At 46.7% G+C, this 23949-nt stretch overlaps 2 protein-coding genes across 38 annotated transcripts in view, besides 6 other annotated features; one reads left to right on the top strand and one right to left on the bottom strand.

The window, feature by feature from the left end:
* The window catches only part of DUSP29 (dual specificity phosphatase 29), a 36171-nt gene extending 27815 nt beyond the window's left edge, over positions 1 to 8356 (top strand). For 2 of the 3 annotated variants that reach the window (NM_001003892.3, NM_001384909.1), the window contains 2 exons: positions 1811 to 2031; positions 7751 to 8356. In NM_001003892.3, coding sequence (NP_001003892.1) covers positions 1811 to 2031; positions 7751 to 7992 — 463 coding nt within the window. In that variant the 3' untranslated portion in view covers positions 7993 to 8356. Of the gene's footprint in view, positions 1 to 1005; positions 1780 to 1810; positions 2032 to 7750 lie in introns of those variants that run through there. The other variant, XM_017016176.2, reaches the window with a different exon arrangement.
* Positions 1543 to 1652: an enhancer, noted in NCBI's record as "active region_3606". NCBI's record gives its function as "activates an Ori minimal core promoter by ATAC-STARR-seq in GM12878 lymphoblastoid cells {active_cell/tissue: GM12878}" and the evidence as "EXISTENCE:reporter gene assay evidence [ECO:0000049][PMID:35858748]".
* Positions 1793 to 1982: an enhancer, noted in NCBI's record as "active region_3605". NCBI's record gives its function as "activates an Ori minimal core promoter by ATAC-STARR-seq in GM12878 lymphoblastoid cells {active_cell/tissue: GM12878}" and the evidence as "EXISTENCE:reporter gene assay evidence [ECO:0000049][PMID:35858748]".
* Positions 9509 to 9668: an enhancer, noted in NCBI's record as "active region_3604". NCBI's record gives its function as "activates an Ori minimal core promoter by ATAC-STARR-seq in GM12878 lymphoblastoid cells {active_cell/tissue: GM12878}" and the evidence as "EXISTENCE:reporter gene assay evidence [ECO:0000049][PMID:35858748]".
* Positions 12534 to 12583: an enhancer, noted in NCBI's record as "active region_3603". NCBI's record gives its function as "activates an Ori minimal core promoter by ATAC-STARR-seq in GM12878 lymphoblastoid cells {active_cell/tissue: GM12878}" and the evidence as "EXISTENCE:reporter gene assay evidence [ECO:0000049][PMID:35858748]".
* The window catches only part of KAT6B (lysine acetyltransferase 6B), a 207689-nt gene continuing 196943 nt past the window's right edge, over positions 13204 to 23949 (bottom strand). For all 35 annotated transcript variants that reach the window (XM_047424912.1, XM_047424919.1, XM_047424927.1 and 32 more), the window contains 3 exons: positions 23597 to 23947; positions 20579 to 20870; positions 13204 to 17339 (listed from right to left, as the gene is read on the bottom strand). In XM_047424912.1, coding sequence (XP_047280868.1) covers positions 14782 to 17339; positions 20579 to 20870; positions 23597 to 23947 — 3201 coding nt within the window. In that variant the 3' untranslated portion in view covers positions 13204 to 14781. The remainder of the gene's footprint in view (positions 17340 to 20578; positions 20871 to 23596; positions 23948 to 23949) is intronic.
* Positions 15204 to 15703: an enhancer, noted in NCBI's record as "H3K4me1 hESC enhancer chr10:76789883-76790382 (GRCh37/hg19 assembly coordinates)". NCBI's record gives its function as "activates a minimal SCP1, AML or CMV promoter by ChIP-STARR-seq in naive H9 embryonic stem cells {active_cell/tissue: H9 hESC(naive)}" and the evidence as "EXISTENCE:reporter gene assay evidence [ECO:0000049][PMID:30033119]".
* Positions 23329 to 23438: a silencer, noted in NCBI's record as "silent region_2505". NCBI's record gives its function as "represses an Ori minimal core promoter by ATAC-STARR-seq in GM12878 lymphoblastoid cells {active_cell/tissue: GM12878}" and the evidence as "EXISTENCE:reporter gene assay evidence [ECO:0000049][PMID:35858748]".

The raw sequence follows: 23949 nt of genomic DNA, 5'->3' as shown, positions 1-23949 counted from the left end.
AGATTGATCTTTAAAAAAGTAAACAATGCTTACTTCTTTCTTAAAATCCTCTAGCAGACTTCCACCACACTTGCAATAATACTCCTTCCTATGGCGGGCAGGGCCCACCATGCTCCAGCCCCTCTACCTTTCCAAACTCCTATTCCCCTTGCCACTTCAGCCACACTGGCTTCCTTTCTGTTCTCAGCAGTTGTTCCCTCTGCCTGGATGAAACGCTTTCTCTCCAACTCTTCCTCAGCCTTCTCATCCCTCAGTCTTGGCTTAAACACCACCTCCCCACAGTGGCCTTTCCTGACCGCCTTGCCTGAAGCAGGACCACAGTCATTTTGTATCATGTCATGAAGTTTTAGGTCCTTCGGATAGCTCTCACTGCTATCTAAAATTATCTTTGTTTATTTCCTACCCCCATTAGTATCTGACCTTCCTGAGGGAACTTCACTAACCTGTTCTTTTGTTTTTTGAGACAGTTTCACTCTGTCACCCAGGCTGGAGTGCAGTGGCGTGGTCTCAGCTCACGACAACCTCCACTTCCTGGGTTCAAGCGATTCTTGTGCCTCAGCCTCCCAAGTAGCTGGGACTGCAGGCATGCGCCATCACACCTGGCTGTTTTTTGTTTTTTCTTTTTGTATTATTAGTAGAGACAGGGTTTCGCCACGTTGACCAGGCTGGTCTCGAACTCCTGACCTCATGTGATTTGCCTGCCTCGGCTTCCGAAAGTGCTGGGATTATAGGCGTGAGCCATTGTGCTCGGCCCCTGTTCATTTCTTTACCATCAGCACCCAGCACAGTGCCTGGCACATAATAGATTGCAAATAATTATTTGGGGATGGATAATTGATTACAGGAAATAGACAATGCTTCCTGAAAGGCCTTCGTTGTCTCCAGCCTCCATACCTCAGGTGGTGCTGTTTCCTTGGCTTGGCCCGCGCTTGCCTCCTTCTTCCCCTCCATCACCAAATGTTGACACTTGTAGTGACACAGGCCTCTCCCTGCCCCACCCCACAGGCAGGAAGAACCCGTGTTTCCTCTGGCAGCCCATCTCCACTCCGGCCCCACCATGCTGCCTTCTCATCGAGTCATATTTCAGAGCCACCTACTTCAAGAGGACTTTACTGTTCCTGGAAATTCTTGCCTAGAAAGATAAAGCTGTAGCCCATTAAATAACTTCACTGCTGGCTTCAAGAACTTCCCTGCAATCAATTCAAACAACAGATGGCTCAAAAAGCCCTCCTTCTCAGAACAATGCTCTGCCCAGCTGGGCAACAGCTCCCCAAAGCAACACTTTCCCGTTCACATCGTGCCAACGTGAATTTGTGAACTTTGCCCAATCCCAATCCAATCCTCTTATGGAAGGCCTTGCTTTAAACCATTCAGTTGAGCGTCCATCTCCAAACCCTAAAAACATCCAGCAGGTTCAGAGCAGAGGTTGGGAGAAGGCAGCCCTGATGAACAGGTTATTCTGGAGGGCTTTCAGGCGATTTGGCAGGTCCAGATCTGCGACCACCGTAGAGGCCAGCACCAGGTTCCGCTGTGTATACTGAATGATGAAAGAACTAATGGACGAACGAATAGCTCAGCTTGCCTACCCCAGCCTCCACCCTGTCCTTTCTTGAGACAGCCGAGCCAGAATCACAAAACAGTGCAGGTGGCCTAGGGGACCGGGTAAGAGCAGAGCTTTGGGACTTCATTTGCAATAACTAGTCCTCATTCTGGAACTGGAATCCACAGCGGAAAGCGTGGGTGGCCCCTGAGTTTCCCGGACCCGGGGCAGGGCGCCGCGCGCCCACAGATTTCTCTCCCCTGCGCCCAGGGCGACGGCGCTGGACCGCTATAGGCTGCAGAAGGCGGGGTTCACGCACGTGCTGAACGCGGCCCACGGCCGCTGGAACGTGGACACTGGGCCCGACTACTACCGCGACATGGACATCCAGTACCACGGCGTGGAGGCCGACGACCTGCCCACCTTCGACCTCAGTGTCTTCTTCTACCCGGCGGCAGCCTTCATCGACAGAGCGCTAAGCGACGACCACAGTAAGAGACCCGCGGCCCCGCCCCGATCGGCCCCGCCCCGCCCCGCCCCGACTCGCCCCGCCCGTAGCTTAGGCCCCGCCCCTTCCCCGCCCCACTAAGGCTCCGCCCCTAGCCTAGGCTCCGCCCTTAGCCCAAGGTTTCCCCGTCTGAGGCCCAGGCCGGAAGCGGGATGTGCGCGTGCGAAATCTTTGTCGCAAAGCTGGGCCACTGGGGCTGCTTGTGGCCGAGGGTAAAGGTCCGAGCCCCTGGAAGCTGTGAAGGTTTAAGGACCTGCACCACCCAGCGTGCTGCTGGTGGGGTTCGGGCCTTGATTGCAGCTCTGGGGAATGGAAATAGGGCGTAAGAATAAAAGGCCTTTTGGTCGGAGTCTTTGCTAAAGAACATTTGCCATCCTTCAAAAGGCGGAGGCGGTCTGGGAGCTCTCAAAGCTGGGACTGCGGCCGGAGACACTAATTGTGCCTGGGCCTGAACCCAACTAGTAGCCAAGGGCTTTGATGCCAGAAAACCCTCAGGGAGCTGACTTGAGTGGGAATCCATGGAGAGACCTTAAATTCTCCTGCCCACCAACCAAGTTACACTCCCCAGTTACACTCAGCCTCGTGAGGCCTCCAGTAGAAAGCTGACAAGCTGGGCTTTACTGGCACGCTGTATTTGAGGTATAATTTGGGTTTTGCACCCCCAGCGTCCAAGTTTTCCCAGTGTTAATTATCCAGCTTTTAAATCACAGTGCTAGTCTTTGTGCTCAGAATGCACTGTTGGCTACCCTAATCCAGCAAAGGCTACAAGGCTATTTTGGAGAGAAGGGCACAGCTTAGGGACGCATCGGGGGTAAGACAATATACAGTTATTGCTGCAGGGTGTACTTCAGTGGAATTCCACAGAGGCCAGAGGGACTTCAGCTCCCTAATCTGTGCTCTGACTTCAGCCCAATGTGTCACACACCCCTTTGTGGAGCCATCACATAATTCAGGGTATCTGGTTACTGAAAGCCTTTCTTGCCACAAGAGGTTGTGATTACAAGGCTCAGTGACTGACCAAATAGTCTGCTGCAGGAACTTGCAACCTGGGGCTGGGCCTAGGCCAGGTCTGCTGGACAATATCAGACCTTAATGGACATCCCAAGGTGGCCCTGGCCCCACAGCCAACCATAGCCACCAACAATTTGTCATTATTTTGGCTCAGAAAGCAATGTCACAATGAAAAAAAACCCTTAGAGCTAACATGCCTGTATTAGAAGATGCCTCATTTCCAGGCCTTCCTTTTATGAGTCTATTTATGAACCATCTTTTGTGCTGTGTACATTCTGGGTTTCCAAGCAGGATCAAAAACACAACTGAACTGAGTCATCACCACAAGGTAAAATTTGCCTCATAGTATTTGAAGTTAACTGAAAACACATTTGACATGAAAAAAACAAAGACTGCAACAACCTAATCCTTCAGTTTCTGTTTAATGCACTCACTTGCCATTACTATATTTTAGACCTTACCCTTCATGGAAGGGGCCTGGCAGGCTTCGGAGAAGACAGGGCTGGGTTTACATTTCTGTCACACAATTTACTAACGATGTGATTTCTCTGAGCCTTGGTTTCTCCATCCGGTGATAAAAATATTTACCTTCAGAGGTTATAATGAGGATCAGCAGTAACGCGCGTAAAGCGCTTAGCATAGAACCTGGTGGACAGCAGGCTCTCGGATGTATTTGATAAAGCGTGGTCATACACTGTGAAGCATATAACCACGCCAGCATGTGCACATCATCATCGTAAAGTTTCCAATCCTCAAAGAAAAAAAAAAGACATTCCAACTTTGAACTGTAAGATATACTCACATGAAAGCTTGTTGTAGGTTCCTGGCACTCAATTTTAGGGTCTGCCCCCACTGCCAAATCCAGAAAGAATCAGGCTCTCAAGTTGAAGCTTAGGCCTAGGCAGATGACAGAACATTATGAGGAGGTGTCAGGCTGCTGTGGATCATGACTGTTAGACCAGGTGGCACCTAGCAAACAAAGGGCCAACGGAGGAGAGTAGATACTTGGATCAGAGACTATGAGTGGGATAGAATGAATGGATGGGGGTGCCGGGACTCGACCAGATGGCTAGGGATGGGGAGCAGGACATGACCCCACTGGAGATGGCAGGGTAGGCTCTGCTCTCAGCACCTTTGCACTGGCATATCTAAATAATTCAAGTCAGGGCTCAAACGCCTACCCTGCAGAACCATGCAGAGTGTAAACAAATGAAGATGGCTGCATGTACAGCGGAGGGGTGTGGGTAGGGGGCACTTGTGGCTAAGCAGAGAGCCCTGTACCCCTTCAGAGGGGCACCTGCCACCCAGCCTCAGCTAATGCTTGTCTTGTGAGAGTCAGTGCAAATGTGGGAGATCTGACTTTTCAGAAGTCTCCAATCTGGATTATAAAATCACTCGATTTTTAGGTCTTGGCAACAGATTGAAATTTCTTAAAATGCTGCAAAGGACAGACTAAAGCAACCCAATGGCCATCAGGTTGTAACCTGTGCCCTGAGTGGCCAGAGCAACCAAACAAAATGCCCGCTAGCTCAGCAGCAGCAATGCCACAGACTTCATACCCAGTGGACGGCAGGTGCTCAGCCCACCTGCCACATGCAGTTGTGTCTAGGCAAGGGACACTGCTTGGCATTTTAGTGCTGGACCTACTTGTATGTTTCTTACACTCTCTATGTAAGTGGTGTGGATAGACAGTCTGGCCAAAAAGCAAGGCATCACTCCTTGCTTCCTCTTGTCTATGTTCTTTGTTCTCATTGACTGGTTTCAGCCAAGTGTACACCATTCCCCCTACCTGGCTTCTCACAGCCGGTCATTTTCACTCTTTTTGAAAAGCGTTCCTTGTGGAGCTGTACTCGTGGGCTGTAATCAGCCCCTGGGGCCCTCTCCCATCCCATCACTACCCTGACTTGACCCTTTATAAAGAACTCCCCAGGCAACCTCAGTCACTCTTAAAATATCTCGGAGATAATCCAGTCCCTGGTCCTGCCCTGACAGCTGGGCAAACAGAGGCCCAGAGAAGACAAGTGAGGTGCCCAGGGTCACAGAGCTAATCAGAGGCAGCGCCATCAGGACACCTGCCTACCAGCGGGGATTCCTTCTGTCACCGAGGCCTCACAGAAGAGTCCTCTGCCCTTATTTTGAGCACCTGGTGACTTTGCTGTATAAGAGGTCACCGAATATCATGGAGGGCGAGTCATGCCAGCTGGTTATAGGATCTGAAAAAACTGAATTTGTCACTCTTCATCAGAAAAAGAAGTACTCACAAAATACTGTCACAGGAACCCCACTTGGGTTGCTTTAACTGCCCCCGATTCGGCATCCTCCGAGGTGAATTAGTGTGGTTTTAATTTAATGAAGTCTTCTAAGAAACTCCAGGGCAAATGCCACGAGGCGCTAAAGATCAGACTTTAGTATCACGCTCTCCTTTTGGCAGTCCATGGCCTGCTTCTGAAGGCATCTTAAAATATATTATGGATAAGGGAAGTATGAATAAATAAATGAAGCCTGCTTTCAAGCAGGAGGTTGATTCTCTGGTGCTTCTAATAAGCTTTAACCGACCAGATTTTCACTGTTTGGTTTTTGTTTTTGTTTTTTTGAGACGGAATCTCGCTCTGTCACCCAGGCTGGAGTGCAGTGGCGTGATCTCCACTCACTGCAACCTCCACCTCCCGGATTCAAGCGATTCTCCTCTTTCAGCCTCCCAGGTAGCTGGGAGGTGCCCACCACCACACCTGGTGAATTTTTGTATTTTTTAGTAGAGACAGGGTTTCACCATGTTGGCCAGTCTGGTCTCCAATTCCTGGCCTCAAGTGATCCACCCACCTCGGCTTCCCAAAGTGCTGGGATTAGAGGCATGAGCCACCACGCCCAGCCGATTTTCACTGTTGGAAGGGTCTCTTGCCCTATCTCCCTCCAGCCCCGGCAGTTCATAATACACCTTGCACCTTGTTTCTCAGAACTTCCACACACCTAGAACCTCTTGGGAAGAAGTAAGGGCTCTACCAGAATTTCTTTGCAAGTTACTAAGAAAGGCAGGTTCCCAGATAGTGCATGGGAGATGGGCAGAAAGCATCTCCTGAAAGCAAGGAAGGAGTCTGCTTAGCAAGGAGCACACCTGGCTGCGGGGCGGAGCGTGGTGCAGGGTAACAGTCTTAGCCTACGTCTGATTTTCGTGACAGAGGCCTACCTTCCAGTCACTCCTAAAAGCATGCAATTGAGGAGCAGTAGAGATTCTGGATTTGGGTTTCCTTTTCTTGAGATGCAGTCTTGCTCTGTCGCCCCGGCTGGAGTGTAGTGGCGCGATCTCAGCTCACTGCAACCTCTAACTCCTGGGTTCAAGCAATTCTCCTGCCTCCGCCTCCTGAGTAGCCGGGACTACAGGTGCACCACCACGACTGGCTAATTTTTGTGTAGAGATGGAGTTTTGCCATGTTGGCCAGGCTTTAACCACATGGGCTCCAGGTGCTCTGACTGTATGTGAGAACATAAGGACCTGCAAGCATAGGTATGCACTAGCTGCTGCTGTTCCTAAAGATGAACTGTGGTCAGGCATGCCTCAAGGGCTCTGACTGTAGTCATGAAGAAAAGTATCTCCAAGCATGAGAGGGGCGCTGATCTCTCCCACTGCAACAAGTGTGCTCTGGCCAGGGGGACCCTAGGAGCTCTGACAGAAGTTGGGAAATAAAAGCCCAACACAGGTATAGTGCTGGCCCCTGTGATGGTAAGAGATGTGCTCTGGCATGATGGGTCTCAGCTAATCTGACCACAAGAAGGAACAAAAGTGTTGCCTGGACCTTGATTCTTCTCAATAGGCCTGACTCCTCCAATAGTAACACATGTGCATTCACCCAGCTTGAACTCCCAACCTCAAGTGATCCGCCCACCTCAGCCTCCCAAAGTGCTGGGATTACAGGTGTGAGCCACCGCGCCCGGCCTCATGCCCTAGTCTTGGAAACAAAATTCAGCTCTTGGAACTCCTACCAGAGCTTAGTGTCCTCTGTCCCTCCTTTTCCCCTTTCTCTCCTGCTCCCTCCACCTCCCCCTCTCCTCCCACCCCCTCCATCTCCCTTCCAACTCTTTCTCCCCTCCCCTCTGCCACTTAACAGAATTCAGGCCCCCAAAAGGCTTAATGAACTACAGCTTTCATCTGTTTCAAGTACTGAGTCATGACAGAAAGAATTACCCTGTTTTCTGGGAGAGGAAGAAACGCTTTGGTTATCAGCAGGGCTGGCCAGAGGCCCGGCAGCCTCCAGAAAGGTCCGTGGGATTTGAATGCCAGGGGTGGACATTCATCCAGCTGGACACGTTCACACCCCAGGAGCGCGGTCATGCCAGGGAGAACCTGGGACCAGCCTCCCCCAGATCCGAAACAGCAATCAAGAAGTGGGTGCTTGCTTTCTGGCCATGGTGCTCAGGGGAAAGGCAGCCCAGCCACACTGTAGGAGCTCAGCAGCCATTCATTAGCACAAACAAATTGTGCTAAAATCGAGTTATTTACAGGGTTATTTGCCTTCTCAACAACCCTATGAAGAAGACACCGAGAGTGTCCCCGTTCTACAGAGGCAGCTGTGGGGCACAGTGCTGAGTCACTTTCTGTGGGCGAGAGGGTGACAGTCAGGATGGGAGTGGGCCCTACCTGTGCCCCCAACACCTGCCCCTCAGTGTGGGTTTTCTCCTCCCTGCTCCATCTGCAGGTAAGATCCTGGTTCACTGCGTCATGGGCCGCAGCCGGTCAGCCACCCTGGTCCTGGCCTACCTGATGATCCACAAGGACATGACCCTGGTGGACGCCATCCAGCAAGTGGCCAAGAACCGCTGCGTCCTCCCGAACCGGGGCTTTTTGAAGCAGCTCCGGGAGCTGGACAAGCAGCTGGTGCAGCAGAGGCGACGGTCCCAGCGCCAGGACGGTGAGGAGGAGGATGGCAGGGAGCTGTAGGCCCGACTCACAGGGCCAGCAGAGGCACTTGGGGACAGAGGGGAGAGGCAGAACATAGCCCTGGCCTAGGACTCCAGAGAAGGGATGGTGAAACCGAAGCTCGACTCTTCCAAACCATCTTGTTCAACTTCCCCATGTGTGCTGGGGACAGGGAGGACCCAGAGCTGCCCCCGGGCAGAGCTGAGCGCTCAGCCTCTCAGCAAAATGGGAGGGACGGGCTCCCCGGCTCTGGGTCACAGAGGAGCATGCCACGCTGCACCAAGTCTCCTGCTTTGGTTTTGTTTTTTTGGTGAGAAGGAAGAGGGAAAAGATTTTAAAATGTGTAGGCAGTATGTTGTGATTAAACGTTTGGCTTTGTCTGAAAGGAAAGTCATCTTCTTATAAAAAGTATTTTAAAATAGAAATTGCTTTTCCAACCACAGAACCGTACCAGGTGAGCAGTGTCACGGGAGTGCCTGCGTAGCTGTGGAGGCTCCTTCCCGGGCATCCTGCGTTTCTGTGGCATCCCTTGCACGCCGCTTGTCTTTTCAGCGGAACCCCTAGGCTCACGCCACCATCTCTAGATGTGCTCCTCCAGCAGGGTGGGGAGGGGTCCTGAACCTCTGTACAGAGGCCCCTGCTTTAGGCTTCCCCCACTTTCCCAAGGGACGCAGGGCTCCTCAGACTCTTAGCCAGGGCTGCCACTACTCAGAAAAATTCAATGAATTGTGGTGAGTTTGGACAAGTAGGAGTTTGACTTTCTAATTTTGGGGAAAAAAAGGGAGGAGACCCTCTCTAGCGGGGACCTCAGGGAGGCTCTTTTCACGTGGGTTCTAGTCAAAGCAACACGAGCTGCTTTTCAGTCATAGCAGAAAGTATTTGCAAATTGTTGTCTGCTGTGGAATGGGACGATGGGGCAGCCAGGTAAGCTCAGGTGTGGAGTTTGCCTCCCTGAGAGCTAAGCCAGGCACGATGGCTGCGTGATTTCCACTCTGAAGGAGAAAACGGCAGCAGACATGAAGCGGGTAGTGACAGCTTCCAGGGCCAGGAATCCCAAACCAGACAGAAACCAAAGAGAGTTGCTGCTGTTGGAGATGCCGGCCGTCAAGGACCAGGCATGGAAATGGCCTGGAGAAACCAGAATGTGATAAAGGCCTTCTAGGAAAAAACGAAAAGGGGCCCGGTTCTTCAGTTTGGTTGTAGTTTTCAGCAGAATGAAAGAGGAAGTTATTGATGGGTGGAGGAGAGAGTCCAGGGCCTCAGCAGAAGTGTAAGCCACCTGAGAGTCACCCTGTGACCTTTGGGGATATGCCCTGCTTTTGTGCCCCTGTGGCTAGGCCTGGCTTCCTGGGACTGCCCTGAGTCTGCTCTGAGAGTCGCCTTGGCCCAGGAGGAGCCAAGGCCCTCATGTTAACATGCACACAGGGCTTGGGGGGGCATTCCCCGGGGACTCCCTCATGGTAAGAGCACTGGTCTTCTAATACATTTTGAAACCTGAAACATTGCAAAGGGGTCGCAAAGCAAAAAGGCAGAGATGATACAGAAATAGAAATGTGCAGTGAACTGGTATGTCCTGGTGCTAAGACAGAGAAGGGGGACATGTTCCCTCTGAAAGCGCGACAGTCCTGAACTGGACAGAGATTGGGTGTATCAGTCACAACTCATGTGGCTGTGAGGGAGAGAGCAATACTGGGTGTATGACGACTACGGATGATGGAATTGCTTAGTGACTCATACTTGGGTGTGAGAGGACCATATTCCAGCTCTTGGGAAAGAGATGCAGGCCAAAAGGGATCCAGGGTCATAGTGGCCCCAACCTAGGCTTCCCCATCAGGATCCTGCTACCCCGGTCTGAACTCAGTTATTGCTTAGCTCTGATCTGTTCCATGTCCAGAGAGAAGCCAATATTTCTATTTTAATGAATATTTACATTTAGATGAATTCACATCAGGGAGGATAGAGTGTAGCTAGGTGCATTGTTGGTGTTTCCTGAGCACCCCACACCTTCCTCATGCTCTCATCTCTTTGTGGGACTCTGGGTCCTGCTGAAGGCAACAGAAGCTGAGAATGGCAAAGTTGCGGTTCTGGTCTCTTCTACATGACTCCTGGGAGCCAGAAGCAGGAGAAAGGAGGAACAGAAGTTTTTGCAAAAGTGTTTCAAGTCTTCAGAAATAAGATATGAAATATTTGTTTGGTCACCAAGTGTCTATTGAGAACCTACCACATGCCAAAACCTGGGTTAGGGGCCAACAGGAAAAATGAAAATGCACATTGTGATAGAGCACAATGCAGGAAATAGGCATGGAGGCAGAGAAAAGTGGGGAAAGGGGAGAAACCCTCTTTAGGCGGGGTGGTCAAGGAAGACCTCTCTTAGACTTGAAGGCACAAACCTTCCAAATGTGCCGGAGCATTCGAGGCTGAGGAACTGCCCATCAGTAAGGCTGGAGCTGGTGGCTGAGAGTGGGAGTGGAAGGAGAGGGGCAGAGGGACTTGATTCTATTCCAGGTACACAGAAGATTCACTGAAGGGTTTTAAGCCGGGGAATGGTATGATCTGTTTCAAGATCACTCTGGAAAGATCCTTTGGCTGAAGTATGGAGAACAGGTTGTAGGGAGTTAAGAAGCGAGGCAAGAGCAGTTAGGAGGCTGTTGACAGGAAAGGAAATGGGCTGGACTGACAGCACCAGGGGATTAGTATTCAAGATTATTTTGGAATTAACCCAGAAAACGGACGGGACCTCCCGAGATGGGGAGGGAAATGAGGGCTAACTGATCGAGGTTTCTCGGCAGTGCTTTAACACTGAGATGGGATGGACCAGAGCAGGAACGGAGGAGCGGTCGGAAATCACCAGTTCGGTTGTCATGCAGATGTACAAAAGGTGTCCCAGGTCATTTGACGTGGCATCTAAAGCTCAGAGGAATATTCACAACTGGGGATGTAATTCCGGGTGTCACCTGCAGAGAGGTGGAATTTGAAGTCATCATACTAGATGAGATGATGAGAGAAAACAGAGAGAACACTCCCGGCCTGAGTGTTGCAGAACATCAATGTTTATAGGTAAGCCTGGGTGGAGGAGGAAGGTCCAGGAAAGGGGATGGAGAAGGTAGAAGGAACGATGGAAACCTGGGTACAGAGAAATGGAAGGTGCTGCTTCATAATGTAACAGTACGTGTACTTTGAGTATCGAAGATTGATTGTAGACCAAGGCTTGCTCGCAGCCACAAAGGGATCTGTATTTATATAGCACTTAACAGTTTTTACAGCAACATGTATTCATTAGCCAAGCCTTTAAATCAGAGAGGTGACAAATTAGGGCCTTTCAGAATACAGTGTCCTAGAAAAAAAGAGCTGGGATTTGGAAAGACCTGGGTTTGTTTCAGCTCACACATTTTAGCTGGGTGAGTTTGGGTAATTAATGTAGCTTAATCTGAGCCTCAACATCCTGATCTGTACATTGGAAAGAATGGCCCCATTTCCTGCACAGGGTGGGTGTGTGGGAGGAGTTTGTGAAAGCTTTGTGACGATATTGTGAGTCATTACTTCTAAAATAGAATGTTGGTGAGGAAGGTGGATGCCCTCCCACCTGGCGTAGGCACCACTTGCAACTATTAAAACGTGAGGCTGGCAACTGACCACCACTTGGTACGACTCTTACAAATAATAGAACACAGTTAGGGTTTAAATGATGTGGCCTGTTAATGAATCTCAATCGAATGAATTCAGCTTTGATGAATCCAAGTTCCTGTTTCGCCAAATCCTTGGCGTCACATTCAGATGTGAACTGATTTCTCTAGTGAGAGTGGGTGAGGTGGAGGGCAGGGTGTTCTGAGGCCATCTCAGATCAGCAGTTTCCTTCCTATGCTAAGCCTTTCTGTTCCATCAAGGAATGTTGGGACTGGGGCCAGCACGGAAGCTCCTAGTCCTAGCTATGCTGCAGTCCTTAAGGAGCCTGGGCAACCGAGGTGTCCCTGGGACTGTTCTAAGATTAGGGTTTGGCAGGTCTGGGGCAATGATTGGGACTCTTCCACAAGCTCCTTTAGAGGGCTGTTAGGCTGGCAGGGTATGGGAACTCAGACATCGCACAAACCACAAGGTGTGATTAGCAGGTCATGGCCAAAGGGAACACAGAGGGGAATCTCAGCCCCCAGAGAATCTTAACCCAAGAGGAAAGAGACAAAATATGTGACAGGTCGGAGCCCGTTCGGGGCTCTGCTTCCCGATCAGATTGCTTCCAGGCCCCAACCCCACCTCCAGGGCTCGGGCAGCCTCTTGCCCGATGTGTGGCCCACTGGGCTGCCCAGTCCTTGGCCACTCCTGAATGGACGCAGTGTTCGATTTGTGCAGGCATAGACCACCACTTCCTACTCTGAGGATGGCTGATAGGTTTCTTTTCCTATTAGCACAGCAGCTTAAATGGATCTTTTCCCTTTGTGCTGACGGCCCTTCAGACGTGTCTTCTTGAAAGCCCTCCCTCAGCTGTTACATATATTACCCCCATTGACTTTGCAGTTGAGGAAGGAAGGGACTAAAAGATAAAATTGTGACACTAAACCCAATACACTTTGTAACTGTGAAAGAAAATAACGATAAGGGTGAGAGTACAAGGCAGAACTCCACTGGGCACCCTCTGTCTGCACAAGGCCTTTTATTCTGGTGTGTACGCTCTATCCTGCCCTTGCACGATTTTGGGTCCACTTTAAGGCTTATGTCTATGCTTTGTAAAACATCTAATTTTTGTGTGTGTGTGTTGAATCAACAGTGCAAAAGCAACTTTTTTCCTCCACAGGGTAGTGACCTGCTTAACAGAGGAGTTGCGAGCACACGTGTTCAGACACCTGGAGAGCTTAACGGGCTAGTTTCACACGGGTGCTAGGTCAAGCATTCATTTCTAGACTTGTTGCTCAAATAACCAAATTCAAGCAACACTCAGAACTTTCTCTGAACGCTATACTTGTGAATATTCACTTTTGGCAGGGGGTCTAAACTTTAGACTCTAAAGAAAACATACAATTAATCATTCACAACAGAGCAAAACGTTCACACTTTTTAAAAAGAAAATGATTTTTCAAACATACAATCCCAAATTGGGTGCTTTTTTTGGTATGAATCTTTATAAAAAGGAAGTTTGCTACCCTGGTGCGAGGCTTGGAGGGATGTTTCTACAGACTGTGCGAGTGAGGCAGCTGGATATTTGTGCGGGATCTCTTTGCAAATGAAGATCAAAGTCCAAAAGAAAAAAACAATTTCACTTTATTTTAAAGACAATGATTGGCATACAGAAGGTATGCACTCGCATAAAATAAACTTTCATGAAAAGCATTAAAATCCATTATAAATTAATTTATTAAATAGGTATTTGGTATATGTGATGGTTTTATTAGATATTACTCTTATTTATTGCCAACCCCTCCCCCAAAGTCAAAACAAATCAGAAAATCCCATAACTCCAATTTACACTAAATAATTTATTTTCCCAAAATGTGTATGTGTTCTGAGGCGTGACACATGATACAGTTCCATTGGTCATTCTCTATCAATCATAATATGACAGGACACAAGAGGCTAAAAATGGCTCATCATAATTTATTTTATGTTAAAATGTACAGCTTTTTTTTGTTTGTTTTTTGTTTTTTTGAAGTGACTGACTAAAAAGAGAACAGATAAATACAAGAGTGTCGCTGGATCCTATTTTATACAAGGATTACGCCTCTCCTGCTTGGCCCTTACTGTCACCCTGTACAGGTACAAAGGCTACAAAAAAGGAAGCAATATAAACAGACACAAATAACTTTTTTGCTTTTTTACATGCGATTTGTAAGCTTAGTTTGAGCTATTCACAAGCTACTTTTCTATTTTTCCTTAAAAAATAACTCCAATATTTTATAAAGATAGAAAAATCTACAGATGGAATGAAAATGTAAAGTTAGAGGCATTTCCATAAAATAGCAACTTTACACCAAATTCACTATTTTTTTTTAAATCCTGCCAAGTATTTGGACATATATGAAATGTTTCAAAACCTGACAGATAAACACTGAGATATGCTTCATTCAATAAACAGAAGTCTGCATTTATAAAACAGAAAGCTGCCTTTTTTCCCCAAAGAAATCTGTCACCAAAATGGAAAAGGGTCTCAACTTTACACCAAACATTTAGCAATAAAACCCTTTTGACTAACCAAATGGGAATAGCTTTTATAGCTCTTTACAGTTTTATAATTAACAAAAATATAGTTTTTTTTAAAACCCTCAAATTAGGGCACCCTAATCAAGGCAAAAAACTTAAGAAATGGCTTACTGTTAGCACAACACTTGTACAGTACTACAAAATGCACTGTCACTAACAAAGACATTAGCGGCATGCTGAAGTGTCACCTTAAACAAAATATACAATAACTGAAATGCTAAAGGCATTTACATGGAGTGGACAGGGAAGGGAAAAAAAAAGCTCTAGGTTCAATATTAAAACAGATAATTTGGGGGGGCTTGATATCCACATTGTTTAACAGAAGCAGGCACAACAAGTGGCTGCCTCCAAATTGTAGTCCAAAGAGAGGCCTTCCTTTGCAGAGAATTTTATATAAAAGTAACAGAAATGAAGGTACCAAAAAAAAGAAAAAGGAAAAAAAGAAAAACAACTTGTATAAGGCTTTCTGCTGCATACAGCTTTTTTTTTTTTTAAATAAATGGTGCCAACAAATGTTTTTGCATTCACACCAATTGCTGGTTTTGAAATCGTACTCTTCAAAGGTATTTGTGCAGATCAATCCAATAGTGATGCCCCGTAGGTTTTGTGGACTGCCCACGTTGTCTACCTTCTCATGTAGGAGCCATTGAGAGACTGTTTGGACATGCCTGTGTTCATGTAGCCGTGATGTCCGGGGGCCGTGTACATCATGTTACCGTGGGGTGGGGTCTGCATTGGCTGCTGGGCATATGGCTGGGTGCCCATCATGCCCATCTGCATCTGCATAGGGTATTGGGGCGTTTGATTCATATAGCCATGATTGCTGTGGTAGCCACTGTTCATCATTGGCTGGGACATGCTGTACCCATTCATGGCGTTGAGAGTGTTCATGTTCATGTTCACAGAGTTGACATTGTAGGCTGGCGCTGGCATCAGGTTCACACTCATGTTCATGCCTCTTTGCATCGTTAAAGTCCGTGCAGGACCCTGCATGGCTACAGTCTGGGAGCGCCCATAGATTTGTGACTGATGGGTGGCAGCGGCTGGTGACAGAGACGCTGACTTGGTTCTCATGGAGATGTGGCCCTTGCTGGCAATCTGGGTTTGCAGTCTTTGGCTGTGAGAGATGCCAATATTTGATGCAGCCATGTTCCGTTGCAAAAGAGGCGGCGGCAGATTCATTGGAGGAGGAGTCAGGTTGGGGGGTGGGGTCATGGTAGCTTGTGCTTGGGGTCCCCCAGGGACGGAGTGTGGAGACTGAGAAAGTTGAACAAGCCCTGTGTTACTTAATGGTGTGGACAAAGAGGCACTGTTTGCATAGGAAGTCACAGCAGCGGAATGGCTGTAAGGCAATGAATGATCAATAAGTGTATTAGTTAACTGCTGCAGTTTGGCAAGGCTGAAGGTGGCTGACGGCTGCGGGTAATGCCCAGCCCCAAAATCACTCTGACCCATTCGCTCGTATAAGCCAATGTTGGCGTTGCTCGTCTCGGGGATTTCAGCCAGCTGCATGGGTGGGGTGAAGTTAGCAGCCATGCTGCACTGAGCCAGCTGCTGGCTGCTGCTCGGAGGCCTCTCCACCACACAGCCTTGAGGAGACTTGACGCTGCAGGTCGGAGGGGAGCTGATGCTGGTTTGCTGCAGCATGCTGCAGCTCCCGCTGATGTTGGACATCTGCTGGGTGACAGCACAGCTGCTCTGTGTCAGACTGCTGGAGGTGAGGTTGCTATAGGAGCAGCTGTTCTGTGAAGAGCCGTTTCCACAGATGCTGCCTCCCATAGTAGAATCGTAGCTGCTTGGGTTTTCGTAGTTCTCAGTTGTGCTCTCGATACTGCCCAGGTCACTAAATCCACTGTCTACGACTTGCTGTGAATGATCTGAAACTGATGGGACATCCATCATGGGACTGGTTTCCATGTTCTGCAGAGATGGCACTGAGATGGCACTTTGATCTGGGCTGATTTGGGCGTAGCTGTTTTCCAGAGCAGGGACACTTGGGCTGTTGACAGAACGTACGGACTGGCCAGGATGGGAGTGGACGGATGAAACTGGGCTACTGTGGTCCGACTGTTGGCAATCGTCGAGCGTGGTGGCAATCTGTGGACTTTGGTCTGCACGGGTGTAGTTCTGTAGGCTTCTACAGGCCTCTTGAGTCTCGGCACAATCCTGAAAGGTGTCGTCCTGTTCGCTGCTCTCCTGGGTCAAAGACTGAACGGCCTGGACAGTCTCAGAGTCGATTTCCATGGTTGCTGGGTTTCCCTCTTTGAACTCTGTATCGACTTCCTTGCTGTTCTTTTGGTCCTGCTTCTGTGCCTGTTCTCCTGGGGGTGGCTCCTCGTCAGATTCGGGTACAGCTTCAGGGTCCCCAGCAAGCTCCTTGGGCTCACTGTTACAAGAAGCTGTCAGGTCGACGCCACAGTCCATTAAGACCTCTGGGTTCGAGTGACCAGGCTGCACATTAAGGTCTAAAAAAGTCTCCTGGTTTTCCAGTACTTCTTTGAAGCTTTCTCTGGGCAGCTCTTCCTTCTCCACTTCGGCAGACTCCATGTGGCTGTCATCCTCGTCATCGGCATCATGGTCCTCGTTGTGGGATGGCTCTTCATCCTCTTCCTCCTCCTCTTCGTGATCATCCAAACGTGCAGAGTCTTCTTTTTCCGTGGAGATTTCTGGTTCCTCTTTTTCTTGGCTTTTAGCACCATCTGGATCTTTTTCTACATTTCCTCCTCCTTCTTCTTCTTCCCCTTCCTCTTCTTCCTCTTCTTCCTCTTCCTCCTCCTCCTCCTCTTCCTCTTCCTCAGGTTTGATGAGATCATCTTCTGGTTTTTCACCTGGTGATGTGTTTGGACTTACAGGGGCACATGTTTCTTCCCTTCTGTTTTCCTCTTGAGGCAACAGGGCTTCCCCAGTTTCCTTGACCTCCTCCTCAATCCTGATGGGACTGGGGCTGGTTTTTCCTTCTGAAGTCTCCTTCTGTTCTTCCACTGTTACCTGCTCGTCAGGCTCCATGGGTGTTTCTGGCGGGGTGTACAAATTCAGTTTAAATCCGGTCTTCCTCTCTTTGTTTTGCCTCCACTTAGATAGACCGCGCTTTGTTCCTTTTGGCCACACTTGTTTGCACTTTAGAGGTTCGGGATTGTCTTTACTGCCTTCTTTCAAGTTACTTGAATCATCATTCATATTGTCTTAGTGAAGAGACAAAAACGGGAAGGAAAAAAAACAGTCTTAGAAAGCATAACCATGGGCAACTTGAATTCATTCCTCTAAATTAATTAGCAAACACTGCTTTCAATTTGGCATGTTAAAAGTTGATGGTAAAGACATAATCAAGGCTAATGTGTAATAATATTGTGTTATAAACCAAGTAAATAACCTAGGCCTGGGAGAGTAACATATTGGGAACACATGGATATAGGCAATGCTAATGTGCTTATTTGAATTTAATGAACAAGACATTCTCTGATGCAAAAGCCCAGAGTTCCACAGTGTAAAAAAAAAAATCAATTTGAACATTTACAAATTAGGAAATATAGGGGAAAGGAATTAATGCTAGCTTATATACAAATCATTACTGTCCTGGAAAAATGACTAGAAGCCTTAACTCTCATATCTACCTAGAGAAAGTAAACCTCTGTTTGTGGACATTTATAGGATGTAAATGATCTTGGAAGACATGATTTATTTACTTTGATTTGAATGTTCTCTCTGGCATAAAAATAAGCTGTGTACCTCTGAAACAAATCAGTAAATAACTAAATACCCAAAACAAATGCATTTGTAATCATCATTTTTAGGATCATCATTTTTGCATGATACAAACTACAATGTAATTACTAGCAAATTCCTGAACATTTAAAATACAGGTATTCTTTTTAACACTAATTCTGTCCACACTGAATTCTGGATCAATATGTTGCTGATGTAAGGTTTGCATATTAAAGACACTTAGAAACAAACCATAATTGTGAAGTTCATTTCAGTTCAGGTGAGCTTTTTACTGAACCTATATGCACATGTTAATATAAATGTAAATATGTACATATTTATACAAGCAGATGAATAGCTATATACATATTAATAAATATATATTAATAAATATATGCATGAAGCACCCAAGTATTCTTAAGATCTTTAGATTACACCAATCTTCTAGAATCAGTGGTCAATTTAAAGGAAAAGCTTTATATAGAACAATAGTCTTATTAGAAACTCTATTTTGGAGAATAAAAATAAGATCTCACAATCATCATAAAACAGATATCCCTTCTGCCAGAATAGAGTGAGTTCTAGTCCAACTGGTGGACAGCAGAGTAAGCACTGGCTGATTTAGGTAATAAAAGGATTACAGATAAACTTACCTGCAAGTATTACATTCAAACCGACCAGCTGAAAAGAACACATATGTGATGTAGAATGTTTCCTTGAGAAGTGCCGAGTACCATGCCCGAGTTAAGAGTCATCTCAGGACATTTCTATTCACAATGGCAGGTAATAGCCATGCCAGTGCCCCCGGATTCCACATTCTTTTTATTTTTGAGACGGAGTCTTGCTCTGTTGCCCAGGCTGGAGTGCAGTGGCATGATCTCGGCTCACTGCAACCTCTGTCTCCCAGGTTCAAGCGATTCTCCTGCCTCAGCCTCCCAAGTAGCTGGGACTTACAGGCATGCATCACCACACCCAGCTAATTTTTTTGTACTTTTGGTAGAGATGGGGTTTCACCATGTTGGTCAGGCTGGTCTTGAACTCCTGACCTCAGGTGATCTGCCTACCTCGGCCGCCCAAAGTGCTGGGATTACAGGCATGAGCCACCATGCCTGGCTGGATTCTGCATTCTTATTCTACGTGCTACTGGACCTACCGGCTTTTGTTGGAACACCTCCCAAAATCAGAAGATGAGCTTTCTGACAATTATTTTTAAGAAAGAAGGACATCCTGAAAGGAATCAGGCATAATATGAGAAGACAGCCAAGAAGGGGAAATAAACCTCATTTTCACACACAAAATGATCGCTCACTGCAGTTTGTTATTTGTTTAAAAAAAAAAAACCCAAAGAATAAGGCTTGGTTTCTCTATACCCAGGGTAAGAAGTCATTCCTTCAGCAAAATACTGTATGCAGGAATAGCATTTCTGTGAACTAAGAAAATCAAGAAGATGCTTGCATATGTTCTTAAAACTGTGGCTTTTCAAAAGCTAGAGTGATCCTGTGGTTCCCAGGGAAATGAGATGGCCTGTTCCCCAGATTAAAGTAAGTTCTGAATAGAGTCATCTTGGCCAGGGAATAGAGAGAGTATACCATAAACCCTCATGATTCAGCTGGGAGCACACGTTCTCAACCTGACAGGCAAGGATGGGTGCTTTTAAAGACGATTCACTGGTGTTCAGTGTATTTTTTAGAGGATGGGGTAGAGGTGTCCCTGTCAACTTAAAAGGAAAGTCAGTTTACTGATTTTTATGTTATGCAATATTATCAAAGCTAATATTGATGTGTGGGTAAGTTTAGATGGTTCCTTTTTTTTTTTTTTTTTTTGAGAAAGGGTCTCATTCTGTCACCCAGGCTGGAGTGCAGTGGCACGATCATGGCTCACCCTGAGCTCAGGTGATCCTCCCACCTCAGCCTCCCAAGTAGCTGGGACTATAGGCACACACCACCACTGCTGACTAATTTTTGTATCTTTTGTAGAGATGGGGTTTTGCCATGTCGCTCAGGCTGGTCTCAAACTCCTGGGCTCAAGTGATCCAGCTGCCTCAGTCTCCAAAAGTGCTGAGACTACAGGTGCACACCACTACATCTGATTAATTTTTGTATTTTTTTTAGAGTAGGGGCTTTGCCATGTTGCCTAGGTTGGTCTCAAACTCCTGGGCTCAAGTGATCCACCTGCCTCAGCCTCCCAAAGTGCTGGGATTACAGGTGTAAGCCATCATGCCCAGCTTAGTTTAGATGAATCTTTATAGTAGTATATACTACGACACTACTGATTATAAAATGTACTATTGATTTACTAATATTTGTTTTCCAGGAAAAAAGAAACGATTCCATTCAATGCTCACACTGATAATAATATATACCTTGATTTCAGAAATAACTAAATGTGAAAAAAAAAAGTACATATTAGAATCAAAGAAATGTAATGTGTTTCTTGTCAACAGACTTCAAAGTTTTTGGGGATAAGCCAATTTCTGGTAAGTAAGATGAACCCACCTAGAGGAATGTTCTGGCCTTAGAAGTTGTTTAACATAAAATCCAATTCCAGGAAGAAGGGAGAGAAGCTTGTAAGGATGGGAAAGGGCAGATGGGCACTTGCTCCAGGTGCATCAGCACCACTTCGCAGGTGCCTCTGGGCATCACGCCAGAGGCCTGCTCTTTGGCACCCAGTCAGATACAGACATTCTCAAGGGTAAGGTTTTTATCATTCCTCTACTTACTTCTACAAGGGTCAGCATTCTTGAAGCAATGATTGTCTTTTCCTTCCTCTTCCTCTGTTTGTCTTTTCTTCCCAGGCTGATGCTGGAATGCTTTTCTCAGGACTGGCTTCCTGCCATCTTCCTCCACTTCAATCTCACAGGTAGGCTCCAGCTGTGGCATTGGCCTCTCTTCATCTGAGTTGTCAAAGGGCTCATTCAGTACTTCTGTCGTCTCTGAAATGGTCTCTGTTGTTACACTGCTGTTGATCCTCCTGCGTTTACGACCCCTTTTCTTCTTTAGTACAAAAGGCCTCTGAAATTAATTCCAAACATAACACATAAGAGCTCATGAGAAATTAAATGGTTGAGTCGATATGCAGTAGACATGTACTGAACGCGTGTCTGAGAATCTTACACGTGGTGACTTCTGTAATGCCTTTGTACTTAACCTTCCATTTGATGTCTAACATCCCTCTCGGGCTCCAACTACACAGGCAAGTGTTTTCCAAATAAAACAGTTGTTTACTCAAGCAGATGCTCTGAGAGGGAACATCCTAGCAGCTTGACTGGAGATTTTAAAAACTAAGCTTTGCTTTTCTAGCATATATTTTTCCAATGGTACTTGCTGGCTTCAATATTCCTCACATCACAGACATTTAAGGTCATCACAGACTCTAATGTCTTTATAAATGGTGCTGTAATTAACTAGCCACTGGGTTAACCCATTTAATACTTGAGAACTCTTGAAGGAGCACCCACTATGTGGACAGCACTGGGAAATATGATACAAGACCAGCCTACTTTTTCTCATTCCATAGGACTTCAGGGCTATGAAAAGGAAAGGAAAGGTACCTGAAGAAAGGATTACTGTTTAAAATGTTAACAAAGTCAAGTATTGGTGGCTGCTGAGATGTGAGCAACTGATAACCTGGCAAAATATTTTAATAGAAGGAATCTAAAAATGTTAAAGACATGCCAGATGTCTTATTTGTATGATATAAAAATATTTTTTTCTTTTATTTTTCTTTTTTGTAGAGACAGGGCTTTGCCATGTTGCCTAGGCTGGTCTCGAACCCCTGAGCTCAAGTGGTCCACCCGCCTTGGCCTCCCAGAGTGCTGGGATTATAGGTGTGAGCCACCGCACCTGGCCTAAAAATATTTTTTCTGTTTGCACTAAAGGTTGGCACAAATGACTGTCCATAATTGTAATTATAAAATGTTTTTCGCCCAGCAAAAAAGTTTTTAATGACACAAAATTCAAATAGAGGAATAGCAGGTAGATTTGCTGCTAAGATGTAATTGTTGCCCCCCAAATTATTGAAAATACACTGCAAAGAAGGGTTCAATATGCTTGGTTAAAAGCTAACCTTCAGGTAAACTGTATTCAATTATTATTATTATTATTTTAAAAATACTTATTTATTTTTTATAGAGACAGAGTCTTGCTTTGTTGCCCAGGCTGGTCTTGAACTCCTGAGCTCAAATGATCCTCCTGCCTCAGCTTCCCAAAGTGTGGGGATTATAGGCGTGAGCCACTGTGTCCGGCCTCCAAGAATTCTTGTGTCTTACTTTTGTTAACGCTCTGAATGCTCACTGAAGCACACACGTAGCCAGTTAATCATATTCTGTAATTAAACATTTACGGTTATTATTCCCCCCAGTCTGCCTGCCCTCTTTAATCCATGAGAATTTTCCCTAATATGAGGGAAGCCAAGGTAGAGAACTGGTTTTCTTCAGGTTGAGTCCAGTTCAGATCATGCCTTGGATGATTCTGGTTTTTGATAGTTTTAGAACAAATTTCTTTTATTATATATACAACACATGAATACACACTCCTCCTAAGAAATGGAAACATTATTCTTAAGCCTGAAGTCTACTTTGTGGGATGCTCCTTTCTACCACCTCCCCATGGAGACCCTTCCAGAAGACTGCCAGGCCTAGAAGAGCGCTGAGCTGGGAGTTAGAACAGCAAGTTCCCTAACAGATGCCACATCAGATGGCCTTGGGGCGGAGCCTTAGCTTGTATTGTGATATCTCTATCAGTCTTGGCTCTCCTCTATGTCCCAGATAGATACTGAAGACAAAGATATCAGATCTGGGTGAGCAGTTACCTAAAAACAAAGTCAATTCTTTACTTTCTGTACCATTGGAGATGATATGGTCTATCTAGAGACATCACTGGGCTACTAAGATCTGAGGAGATTCAGTAATGCGCAGTTGGCCACAAATGCAAAATATCACCATCAAAATTAAGGGCCTAAAATGCTTTCTAACAATTCTGTGCCAAGAACAAGAGAAAGAAACAGCATGAAGAGCACTGGGCTTGGAGTCTTTTTGTTCTGTTTTGAGACAGAGTTTCGCTCTTGTTGCCCAGGCTGGAGTGCAATGGTGCGATCTCGGCTTACTGCAACCTCTGCCTCCCTGGGTTCTCCTGTCTCAGCCTCCCGAGTAGCTGGGATTACAGGCGCGTACTACCGTGTCTGGCTAATTTTTTGTATTTTTAGCAGAGACGGGATTTCACCACGTTAGCCAGGCTGGTCTTGAACTCCTGACCTCAGGTGATCTGCCCACCTTGGCCTCCCAAAGTGCTGGGATTACAGGCGTGAGCCACTGCGCCCAACCCAGGCTTAGAGTCTTGAGCACGCATTTGGTTCTGCTTCCATCTCTAATGAGTCATATGACCTTAGAGAAGTCTCCTGGCCTCTAGGTCTTGGAGGGTGGTTTAAGTGCTTTCTGGGGCCCCTTTTTGTTCCCATAAACCTCAGTTACTCTACTCCTGCAGACCAGCAGGTGGCAGTGACTACTAGACTAGGAGGCTGGCCTGTCCCTGGTTTCCTGTCACCGCACTAACAAACCTGAAAAGTAAACATAATCATGACTGTGAGATAAACGATTATGATATATGATCAGCGGGACTGGGTACACATAAACTACGACTAAAGAACAGAGAGTGAAACAAATACTAATAGACAGAATGTCTGCAATGACAAATAAGATTTGATTGAACGCGACTCACAGAAAATCTAAACAGACACCTACCTTTCTCTTTATGGCAACTGACTGTGGTTTCGTCAATCTTGGGGGAGAGCTTTGAATATTTTCTTCTTCTTCTTCTTCTTCTTCCTCTTCTTCCTCCTCTTCATCCTCTTCCTCTTCTTCCTCCTCTTCTTCCTCCTCCTCGTCCTCCTCCTCCTCTTCTTCTTCACTGCTCTCTTTAGACAGCTCCAGCAGCTGCCCTCGCTCCCCTGTGACTGGCCGGCTCTCCGGGGAATGCAAATATTTATTTTTCGATTGTACTTTTGCAGGTGATTGCCTACTGTTAGCTCTAGTTGACAGGATTTCTTGTTCCTCCTTCTCCCAGCAGCTAGCTTGTTCCATTAGCCGCTCAGCCT

This window comes from Homo sapiens, chromosome 10, assembly GCF_000001405.40.
Source record: "Homo sapiens chromosome 10, GRCh38.p14 Primary Assembly".
In the NCBI taxonomy this organism is placed as follows: Eukaryota; Metazoa; Chordata; class Mammalia; order Primates; family Hominidae; genus Homo; species Homo sapiens.
This window is presented reverse-complemented; position numbering and strand designations above follow the sequence as displayed.